This window comes from Homo sapiens, chromosome 3, assembly GCF_000001405.40.
Source record: "Homo sapiens chromosome 3, GRCh38.p14 Primary Assembly".
Taxonomy (NCBI): domain Eukaryota; kingdom Metazoa; phylum Chordata; class Mammalia; order Primates; family Hominidae; genus Homo; species Homo sapiens.
The window spans coordinates 34,863,026-34,875,736 of NC_000003.12; the positions used below are offsets into that span (position 1 = coordinate 34,863,026).

The following is a 12,711-nucleotide window of genomic DNA, read 5'->3' on the forward strand; positions in this document are numbered from 1 at the left end:
CTTAAATACTGTCACCTCTATTATTACTTTTTCAAACCCAGAAAGACTTAATCTGCCCTATTCTTGTTCCTTTAGTGTGTTATTTGTACTCTAGTACTTATTAGACTGCGGCTTATATGATGAGGATGGTAATGGTGTTGATGTCAGTGGTGCTGTTGCTAGGATAGTATATGCTTGAGAGACAATCTTCTTTCTGGCCTTCACTTGGTCAAATTGCTTATCATCTTAATTTCTTCGTCTGTAAAAGGGTGGAGACAATAATACTCTCCTTTCCAATTTAAAAGATTAAGAATAAAAATGAATTGCATAAAGTGCCTGACACTAACATTGTTTTTATTTCCTTTCTCATTTTTGTGTTACTTGAAAATTATTTGATTTAGATTATACATTTTCATTATATGTGGTATTATATTTAATATGAGAATCTTCCCTTTAAAACAAACCTAACTTTGTAGATCTTATGTAAGTGTGTATATATATAAATGTGTGTGTGTGTGTGTGTGTGTGTGTGTGTGTGTATCTTTATGAGTTTATCTTCTAGTAGAAAAAAATGCTGCTTTATCCTACGTTGGCTGCTTTCTGCCATGGGCCCAGGGTTGGGCTGGCTCATCTTCATTTCCCTATGAGTTCCTCTTTTGGTCAGTTGCCATAATTAGTTTCAGCTGTAGGTTATGGTTGGTGATCATAAGATCAAGCTGGGGCCATCTGAGCTCATGATTTATATGCTCACCAGCCAGGGAGAAGTCTTTTGAGAATTACAGCTTTATTCTCAAAAACCCTGATGCTTAGGTCTCAATGATTTGCCCTGGGAGAAGATGACTGGGTTGATGCTGTCTACCATCAATATCAAGGAGTGGTTCTACCCAGTTATAGTCATAACTACCACTTGTCTTGCATTTTACAGTTATTATAATGCCTTCAAAGGTGCTATCTATTGCAATCCACACTACTGCCCTGGAGGTGGGTCACATACCCATTTTACATATGGAGACACTGAAGCTCAGAGGTGTATGAGATTAGCCCAAGAACACTCAGCTGACGCCAGCCTAAGTCTCAGGTTTTCTGACTCCACATGGGTGCATAGTCTTAGTCTTCTCTATGCTGCTGTAGTGGTTTATATTTCTGGCACCTTCATCTTCTCATACTAATCTGACAGAGTCAGACTCAAAGAAACTCACAGCACACTTGAAGGAAGTGAGTCATTCTCCTTGGAGCAAGGTGACCAAAAAGCATTTTAATTCAGACTATTTTCTTAGAGATATTCATGCCTAACGCTACCCTAGGGGCATGTTTCAGAAATGTGAGGGAGGGTTATAGCTTGAAAAAGCCCCCTTCGTGACTGTTATACACACTCTAGGGGCAGCTCTCCCTCCACTCAATGCTTTTGGCCTTTTAGGAGAACATGTTTCCCCAATTACTCAAAGGCCAGGTCCTTAGAGAAAAATGTACTGCTGCGCATAGTGAATTATATTGATTCTTCCAACAAGTTGTAGAGAAGACTCATTTATCTGTTGGATAGTTGGGAGTTTATGGGGATTTTTACATTTTACCAAAGAGTACCTTTTAACCACTGAATTCTATTATTCTGTTATTTTTACTTCATCTCTTTAGGAAGGTACTCTCTTGTTGACTAAGGCTGTTTGCCACTGTTTACAACATATTCTCATAATTACAAATGGAAGTGTAGGTTCCAGAAACCATGGGTCAGTCTGAAAAGGAAACCCAGGTCCAGCTGGGGAACTGAAAGTTAGAAAGAATCTCAAACCCAGGCTTGCACCAGAGACAGGGGGCCAGCAAGGCAAACTGGAAGCTCCTCAAGCACTCCGGACATGTGTGAATTTCTGTGAGTCTCTGGGTTGATGTCTGGTGAGACATTTCATGTCAGGGTTTAAGGTGACGGCTGGTGTTTGAAGCCTGTGTCCATGGGCACAGCAAGGATATGAGACATTGGTGAATTGGCCAGGGGACTCCTAATAGCCTTGACCAGAAGCCAGTCACAGTTTACACTATCCTTATTAAGAAAGTAAGTTAGGAGATCACCCCAGCTGGTGTTCTGGATTCTCAGTGGGTGTTGAGCTTTATAGCCTATGTAAAGCCCAGCCTCCAAGCCCCATAGGCCTTTGCCAACTAGATTTCTCAGAGATGCTTTTATCCGTTTTGTTCATGGATAGCCTCTGTGAGATGGTGTGTATGAGGAATCATGAGGCCGCATTCTAAACATGGCAACCTTTATATGACCAATAAATACACCTGCTTGTCTGAGGCCAAAATTGGTCTCAGTGGATGTAATTGAAGTTGCTTTGTGTTTTTGATTTTTCATCACTTTTTTTTTTCAGTATGGCTAGCACTTACAGATAGTTTTAGTTGTATCTGACTTTGGGCCTTTAAGGGAGAGAAATGAGAAATAATTCAATTTTACTTTTGCTGCATAAATGAGAGCTGGAGCTTTGGGAATGTGTTAAGCAGTAATAAAAGACAGCACTTGTTTCCTAAAAAGGCATTGCTGGAACAACAGCAACAACAAAACTATTGTAATGGAAGCCTGGGGTGACTTTAAGAAAGTGCTATGCGGGTTTTAGAAGAGTTTTGTTACCTGTAGTTTGAATGAGCAGTAAAATACAAAAACTTGCTTTTACTAATTCCCCAATCTGTGTCTGTTGTTAACTGGGTTGTTCACAAAGATACATCTGTAGCCGAGCCCTTTACTGCTCCATTTATGTGCATCTGAATTCTGGCAAGCATATTTGCAGCACAGCCTCCTATCATTTTCAATAGAACCTTGTCTGGGCATAGAAAAAGAGCAGAAATGTGTTTTTATGAATAAATCCTAAAATATCTGCTTCTGTGACCCATCATCCAGAGATAACCTCTTCTCCCTCCATTGCCTCATTTCCGACCAATAATAGGACCAGTCAGATATGCTAATTCATTATCTTAGAACTACACCCCAGAGGTTAAAACTTACTGAGTCCTTTTAAAAAAAAAGCCCCCTAAATACTGAGAAGCAGAGCCATATCTCACCACTTTGGCTGGAGAGAGAGAGAAGCCATTGACTAAAGTTGAAATGAAGGAAAAAATGTTAAGGGCAGCCAGAGAGAAAGGTCGTGTTACCCACAAAGGGAAGCCCATCAGACTAACAGCTGATCTCTTGACAGAAACTTTACAAGCCAGATGAGAGTGGGGGCCAATATTCAACATTCTTAAAGAAAAGAATTTTCAATCCAGAATTTCATATCCAGCCAAACTAAGCTTCATAAGTGAAGGAGAAATAAAATCCTTTACAAACAAGCAAATGCTGAGAGATTTTGTCACCACCAGGCCTGCCCTACAAGAGCTCCTGAAGGAAGCACTAAACATGGAAAGGAACAACCTGTACCAGCCACTGCAAAATCATGCCAAATTGTAAAGACCATCGACGCTACAAAGAAACTGCATCAACTAATGAGCAAAATAACCAGCTAACATCATAATGACAGGATCAAATTCACACATAACAATATTAACCTTAAATGTAAATGGGCTAAATGCTCCAATTAAAAGACACAGACTGGCAAATTGGATAAAGAGTCAAGACCCATCAGTGTACTGTATTCAGGAGACCCATCTCACGTGCAGAGACACACATAGGCTCAAAATAAAGGGATGGAGGAAGATCTACCGAGCAAATGGAAAACAAAAAAAGGCAGGGGTTGCAATCCTAGTTTCTGATAAAATAGACTTTAAACCAACAAAGATCAAAAGAGACAAAGAAGGCCATTACATAATGGTAAAGGGATCAATTCAACAAGAAGAGCTAACTATCCTAAATATATATGCACCCAATACAGGAGCACCCAGATTCATAAAGCAAGTCCTTAGAGACCTACAAAGAGACTTAGACTCCCACACAATAATAATGGGAGACTTTAACACCCCACTGTCAACATTAGACAGATCAACGAGACAGAAAGTTAACAAGGATATCCAGGAATTGAACTCAGCTCTGCACCAAGCGGACCTAATAGACATCTACAGAACTCTCCACCCCAAATCAACAGAATATACGTTCTTCTCAGCACCACATCACACTTATTCCAAAACTGACCACATAGTTGGAAGTAAAGCGCTCCTCAGCAAATGTAAAAAAACAGAAATTATAACAAACTGTCTCTCAGACCACAGTGCAATCAAACTAGAACTCAGGATTGAGAGACTACAGATTCTCATCATCTTCCCCTAGGTTATCTACTTATTGGTATCTTACTCGTGGGCCAGCAATACTGGTTTCCTTTTTCCTTCCTCCTACAATCCAGCTGCTGAGATAGCTTCTCCCATTCATCTTCACTAATTAATTTATTTTTATAGTGTGATCTGTCAGTTTTTCATCAGCCTTTCCAGAACATTGCCTTATTCTTTTCTAAGAACAACTATATTATTTCTTCTCAGGAACTTCTATGTTGTTAATTTTTCTATTCAAAACAGTTACGTTGAATATAATAACTACTTTTTCGTGTAATTCTGGGCAAATATGCAGGAGGAAGGTGAGGGTGTTGTATAGTTCTAAACACGGGAATTCAGGTACTTTGGAATTCCTCAAATAATCTGTATTTGCACCTGCTGGAATGCTGCTCTTCCCTCTGCAATATTGCTAACTCCTAGATTCATAGGGTCCCAGAGTCTAGAACTAGATAGATTTGACAGAGGATTACAAGCTCTGAGAGGCACAGGGTGCAGGTAAGATAAGTAACTATCATTAATAGCTTTTTCCATGCAAGAAGATGTGAGAGACCTTCCTACCATGTGGATTTCAATACCTTCAAAAGCTGCATTTCTCAAATCACAAAGCGAACACAAATCACCTGGGGATATTATTAAAATGTAGATTCTGGTTCAGATCCTAGGTGATTCTGATGCTGGTATTCCAGGGACCACATTTGGAATAGTAGGGTCTAAAATTTCATTGTCCAATATGGTAGCTACTGCCACATGCAGCTATTAAGCAGTTGAAGTGTAACTAGTTCAAATTCGGATGTTCTATAAATGTAAAATACAAGATTTCAAAGATTCATTTAAAAAAGCATGGATATAAAATTTCTCATTGGTATTTTACATTGATGACATGTTGATAATAGTTTGGTTATATTGAGCTTAATAAAGTATATAATCAAATTAATTTTAGTTGCTTTTTAATTATTTAAAGGAGAACTACAAACTTGTAAATTACATTATTTTATAATTTTAATCCAGTGCTTCTCAAATTTTACTGTGCTTACCAACTACCCAAGATTCTTGTTAAAAGCAGATTCTGATTGCTCATTTTATATTTCTATGAACACCACTGCTTTAATGCTCTTTTCCCTCCATTTCATTGGCTATTGATAGCATTTAGCATATTTTATAACAGTGGCTCTCAAGCTTTATTGTGCTTAATAGTCACCTGGTTGGCTTGTTAAACCAATGATTGCTGTTCTACTCCCAGACTATAATTGAGTAGTTTTGAATGAGGATCCAAGAATTACTATTCCTAACAAGGTCCCAGGTGATACTCATGCTGCTGCATGGACCACACTTAACAGTATTAAAACCCTGAAACTCTTTCCTTTCTTGCCTATTCAGTAGCATTTAGCATCTTCTGTCCCTCTGTTTTGCAGAGTATAGTTTGTGAACGTATTTTTGTATCTTCTGCTCTACTCACACCGATGTCCATTCATATTGCGGCAATGTCCATTCACCCTGTGACATTGTAAAGTCTTTGAAGGGAAACGTTGTGCCTGTTTGTCTTGGTACCACCAGAGCATCTACTTCAACAATTGGCTTGTTAAATTGAAATAAATTGGATTTAATGAAGTAATTCACCTTTTTTCTTCTTTATTCTCTTACTAGGAGTTCTGACAAGCACAAAAGATTAAAATGTTAATGAAAGAAAACAGGTATAAGGGTTGATCTGTCAATTAATCTATTGATTTACTAATTATTGGGTAAATTGTTTGCTTTCTGTTCTTTTTTATTAGTTTAATTCAATGCATATTTTTAAACACTGAAATGCTGATGATTAGGGCAATGAGTTAGTCTGGTTTCAGAAGATAAGTTAATTGGAAGGTCAGAACAACACTATCAAGTACACCTAGGAAATTAAAGCTATGACGTCATGGTAGCCCAGAGGTAGGAGAAAAGCTACCCTTTAAATTATGCTGATTAAAGCCTTACTAACCAAAAAGTTCTCCTTAGACCAGCAGCATCAGCAGAGTGGAGGTAAGAGAAGTAACTATCACTAATAGCTTTTGCTATGCAAGAAGATGAGAAATAACTTCCTACCATATGGATTTCAATACCTTCAAAGGCAGTGTTTCTCAAATCACAAAGTGCACACAAATCACCTGGGGATATTATTAAAATGTAGATTCTAACTCAGATCTTAGGTGATTCTGATGCTGGTAATCTGGGGACCACATTTGGAATGATTCCTGAAACATTGTTACAAATGCATAATCTCAGGCAAAATACCTGAATATATCAATCAGAATCTGCTCGGAACAACTTGGGTAATTGGTAAGCACATTAACATTTGAGAAACACTGGATAGAAAGATAAGGGCAGAATCAGGTGCTATATAAGCCTGAGGTTGACTCTGGGCCTCTTTCCTCCCTTCCCTAAGAGAAGTCTCAGCACTTGGCCTAAGACAAGTCAGATGGCAGAATGGAGGAGGCAGATGCCCCATGCAGATGGAAATACATTGCATGGGGATATGCAGACCACAGCAGAGCTCCACCAATCGGCAACAGCCTTGTTCACAACAGGACCAAATCTCTCAAAGATTTGTGGCTAGGGGAATTAAAAGAAAAAGAGACTCTTAATATGATGGTAAGGCTTTAGCTGTCAAGCAGCAGGATGCTGCTCCTCCTTGACAGCATGAAAGGAAGCCCAGCTCTACCAGCCTACCTGTCTGGGAGCCACCTGTCACATAGGAGTAGGAAGCAGATTTACTGCCAGAATTTGGGCAAAACTGCATCCCCTCTCTCCAAAATCATGGGGATAAGTGAAGTGTAGGACTGAGCTTGCAGGGATGATGCCATCATGTAAACATGTAAACATCTACCTTAATTCATCTTTTTTTTTTTTTATAAGAGGGAGGCATGTGAGGCAACTTCAGTTAAGTTGAAATCCTTGTTATTTTGAAAGGTAGTTGTAATGGTGGCTCTGATATGTGAAAGTTAATATACTTGACATAATGTAATATTTGAGTGTTGGTACTTTGGAGAGGAGTCCATTAAGTAAACCACACACTTTTTAAGTTATTGACCATAGTAACCCTGGGTCCTCCATTTGATGAGTGGAGATTACAGATCTCAGTCCAAATAGATATTCTTGAACATATCCTTTCAGAAATTGTTAAACAGGTTAAATATTCTTTCCTTCTGTAAGTCCTCTAATACTTTAATATGTTTGTTTTCCATTCATTCAATCAGTTGTATAAATAAACATTAATTAAGCAATGGCTATTTAGGCACTAATCTTGGGGCTAAGGAAATACATGTGGACAGGCAACATCTTTGACCTTGAGCTATTATATCATGGTTCAGAGAGAGTGACAAAAACATTAACAGGCAGCACAGAGCTGTCAGTGATAGGATAGAGGACATACTGCCTAATGTGAATATAGGCATAACAGAAAATGATGATGATGTTAACATGTGTCAAATATTTATTACATGGCAAGAACTATGCTAAGTATTATCCATAACTAAACTCATTTATTTTTTATCATAACCATATAAAGTAAATATTACTATTTCCATTTCTTAGGGTAAAAGTAATAAAGCACAGAAAGGTTGAGTAGTTTGTGCAAAGTCACACAGCTAGAGTGGCAGGAATAGACAAACTTTAAAGCTAAAGTGATATTGTTTGGAAATAAGATACTGACGTCCAGAGATAGAAAATTAAATGCATAAAATTACATTAAAATGAACATTTACTAATGGCCTGCTATTACCAGGAACTGTGCTAGATCTGGAAAGTAACAAAGATGGATAAGACATTGTTTCACTAATCAGGAGTTCATCAATAGGACATACAGGCCGGGCGCTGTGGCTCACGCCTGTAATTCCAGCACTTTGGGAGTCCGAGGCAGGCAGATCACGAGGTCAAGAGATCGAGACCATCTTGGCCAACATGGTGAAACACTGTCTCTACTAAAAATACAAAAATTAGCTGGGCATTGTGGCCTACACCTGTATTCCCAGCTACTCAGGAGGCTGAGGCAGGAGAATCACTTGAACCCGAGAGGTGGAGGTTGCAGTGAGCCGAGATCCCGCCACTGCACTCCAGCGTGGTGACAGAGCGAGACTTCGTCTCACAAAAAAAAAAAAAAAAAGATATATAAACACACATAGGGATATATTGTGGTAAACTGTTCTAAGTTTGCTGATGCATGTATGTGCAAGGTACTGAGGACATAAAAATAAGGGAGTGATTGACTCCATTCTGGATGTGGTCAAGGAAGACTTAAGAGGAGGTGATATGTCAGCTGGGCTTTGAGTTGTGAATAGAAATTTGCCAGGTAGAGGCATTTCAGGGAGAGGAAACAACAGGTTAAAAAAAAGCAAGGACACTAAAGAGCAAAGTAAGGGAGGTTTCTTTACACAATTCAGTTGAGTATCTACTTTATATAAGCAGCTGTAACACCTGGTACAAGGTGTAAAACAATGAGGAAAAAGAGTCCTTGGAGTCTGCAAGGAAAGTTACTATTCCTCATCTTTATGTCTGGCAAGGGTGCAATGGCAGAGTGTGGTTAGACACTGCACATGGAATACAGTCTTTCATCTCTTGAACCTCCTGATCCTAGTAAAGTAGTGGTAACATATTATGAACAGATAAACACTTAGAGAAAAGGAACAGAAGACAGAATTTCAGGGAACATAGGACTATAACAATAATTTAAAGATAAAAAAATGTACAAGAAGTGGTACCTGATTGTTACGAGTGAAGATACAACCCACTCTCCTGTAGAAGGAAAGCATGGGACGAGGTAACATGGTGCCCAATCCAGGAAAGTTTAGTGATGAGAATATTCCAATTAATGTAAATGGAATATCTGAATTGAGCCTCATACAGAAGACATCTAATGAATTGTAAAAGATATCCTCAACATTCTACATTAAATGTCATAGGTTTCTTCTAAGTCACATCAACTAGAAGCTGAAACTCTAAAACCAGAATAAATTCCCAGCAAGCAAGAGGAAACTGATCTTCATTCCTTTTATGATAAAATAAGAATTATGTTTACCTTATCATTCAGGCCTTGAGGAAGGACAGAGGCAAATGTACAGACCAACTCTAGCAACTTACAAGACTCTAAGACCATGTTGAATATCTGTATTGAATGTATTTTCTCTAGCTGTGGACATTCATATGTGTATATATATATTTCTTTCTGATTTTGATTTTTACTCATATTTAATACCACGTTAAGATTGTTATGTATTTAGTGGAATGAAGCAATTCAAACAAACAGGCACTGGGAGGGCTACGGGGGCACCACATGAAGTCAGGTGTCCTGGGATATCGGTGAGGAGAGATCCTGGCTGGGCCCTGGCTGGGCTGACACCTGTGGGCGCTGCCATGGGAGGAGTCTGGGACTCGGTGAAGGTTGCCCCGGGAATGTATCGGCTGGCACAAGGCAGCTTGAGGGCCTGTCATCCATAGAAGTGCCAGTCAGGTGTCACAGAAACAGCCCAGTGTGGCCAGGGTGCAAAACCTCAAGTTCAAGTGAAGAGGAAGCTGAAAACTGGAATATTAATGCTAAACATGGGAGGACCTGAAACCCTCTGACACGTTCATGACTTCCTTCTGAGGCTCTTTTTGGACCAAGACCTCATGACACTTACTGTTCAAAATAAGTTTACACCATTCTTTGCCAAATGCAGAACCTCCAAGATTCAAGGGCAGTACCACAGAACAGGAGGTGGGTCCTCCATCAAGATGTGGATTTCCAAGCAGGGAGAAGGTATTATGGTGAAGCTGCTGGATGACTTGTCCCCCTACACAGCCCCTCACAAATAATACTTCATTGGATTTTGGCATGTCCATTCTTTACTAAAAGAAGCAAATGAAGAGATGGAGAGAGATGGCCTGGAAAGGGCTATTGCTTTCATGCAGGATCCACAGTATGCTTGCTGTACCACAGGCGGCAGCTTAAATGCCATTTAAAGATCCTATAATAGAGTGGGACAGAAGTTTACAATGAAGTGCAGCACTATCAGTAGGTGGCCCACCCATTGCCTCCTCACCCACTGCTTTGTTGACTACATTCTGAAAGAGCTGGACCATTTTCCACTGGAGAAGAGAAGCGAGTCGGCCATTCTCTTTTCTGCTCACTCACTGCCAATATCCGTGATCAACAGAGGAGACCCCTATTCTCAGGAGTTAAGTGCCACTATCCAAAAAGTCATAGAAAGGTTGGGTTACTGCAACCCTTACCAGCTGGTGTGAGGATCCAAGGTTGGTTCAGTGCCCTGGATGGGTCTTCAAACAGATGAAATCTATCAGAGGGCTTTCTGAGAGGGGAAAGAAGAATATCCTCTCACTTTTGATAGCATTTACCAACGATAACACCGAAATGCTGTAGAAACTGGATATCGAGTACGCTCAAGTTTTAGACAATGAGTGTGGAGTTGAAAACATCAGAAGAGCAGCCTCTTAATGAAAATCTAGTGTTCTCTAAGGCCCTGGCTTACTTGGTGCACTCACCTATCCAGTTAAACGAGCTGTGCTCCACAGAGTTGACTCTGAGTTGTCTGCTCAGTGTAAATCCTGTCTGCAGGGAGATTAAATTCTTCACCAATTCTAAATTGTCTGCAGAGAGATCGGATTCTTCACCAACTGGCAGCTGTGACTCCCCCAAGGTGGATTCCATGGGATTAGGCACATGACCAACCTCTAGCTCCTGCCCATGTGGAGAGGCATGTTATTTAGAGATCAAGGAAGGAAGTCATCTTAGTATATGTAGTCTTTGGGCACAAATTATGTGTTTTCTTGAGGATTGGACTATTGTGATGAATTTCTGTTTTTATATAACTATACAGTGGGCATTGATATTTCCTCTCTCTAGGTATAAATTACTAATTTGTAATGTTCAATAGGACAGTCAATAAATGAGTGGAAAAATTTATCTTATGAGACACACACCTATTTTAAATATAGATTTTGGTTTTATTGCCTAAAAAACTCCTGAAAAGATGCAGAGTCCCCTCTGTGGGCTTTCAGTGTGAACAGGATCTGTTCAGTCTTGTGCATATAATTGTAGTTATTAAAATAAACATAGTTGAGTATTTGAAATGAATTCAAAAAAGAAATGTTAATCTTTCCCTAAGCCCGTGGGTTATAGAATGCCAGTAAGGCAATTTGGCTACCTACAATGGCTGCTGTTGCCAGCGAGGCCGCCATTCATTAGTCATTTGATATTTGTGTGTCTCTTACTTTCCTCAGTGTAAAATTGAATCAAGTACAGATTTCAGAAGTACTCTGAAATTCCCTAGGCACCCAAGGCTAATAAATGTTATACATGCTTTGGTGGGTGTCTGTGGTTGCATAGGAAAGGGGTTCCTATCTGCAAGGGCAGCACTGCTGGGAAATGGTAAGGATGGTGTTCATCCTTACATCTCCTTCAGGGATCATCACAAGCATTTGCATCCAGCATCTTGTTTCTCTTAGTTGAATGTCTCCTTTCTGTACATTTGTTTTAAGAATTACTTTATATGGTCAACTATACTTTGTAAGGTTGAATTCTTTCTTAATTTACTATTTTTTGTTATAAAAATTATATAGCCAAATAGGACATGTGAAAAATACAGAAAATAAAAATAACTGCTCTAATGTAACACTATTATCATGTTATTGCTTTTCATACCAATCTTGTCCTGTAGATATTTTTAATGCCATTGTCACCTTGGATTTGTGAGTGAGAAGTTGTTATAAAAATGTGAAAATAATGTCATATCAGAATATGATCTTCTATATTTGGATTTAAGTAGGTTAAAAGATCCTTGATGGATCTATGAAGAATTTTTAATGATCACTTTCTCTTTCCTCCAAGCCCTAAAACTTTGTTCTTCAAAAAAGCACTTATTTGATTTTGTATAAGCTAGCTTACAAAGTGGAAATATTTGTGAATTCATAGATCTTCTATATTGAGAATTTGCTATGTTAATAAATATTATGACACCAATCAATAAATAAACATATGAAAGTGGAGATATCGCTAGGCTCGTGGCTCATGCCTGTAATCCCAGCACTTTGAGTGGGGGAGGCGGGCGGATCACTTGAGGTCGGGAGTTCAAAATGAGCCTGGCCAACGTGGTGATACCCAATCTCTATTAAAAATACAAAAAAAAAAAAATTAGCTGGGTGTGATCTCAGCTACTCAGGAGGCTGAGGCAAGAGGATTGCTTGAACCGAGGAGGTGGAGTTTGCAGTGAACCGAGATGTCACCACTGTGCTCTAGCCTGGGCAACAGAGCAAGATTCTGTCTTAAAAACAAAAAAAGTGGATACATCACTGTGGCTAAAAACTTTTTAAGAGAAGAAGACGTTTTCAAAACTGTTTCAATGTAATGGAGATGTACAAATCAAAAACATAGCAAAATAATCAAAGTAGATAGCAATGGCAGAAAAACAACCTAAAACAAAAAATAGAAATTGTGCTTTAATAATATACATTAAATTTCCTGAGTCATTC

The 12,711-nt window shown here is 39.0% G+C and overlaps 1 pseudogene; it reads left to right on the forward strand.

The window, feature by feature from the left end:
* FECHP1 (ferrochelatase pseudogene 1) lies at positions 9,556-12,203 on the forward strand (annotated as a pseudogene).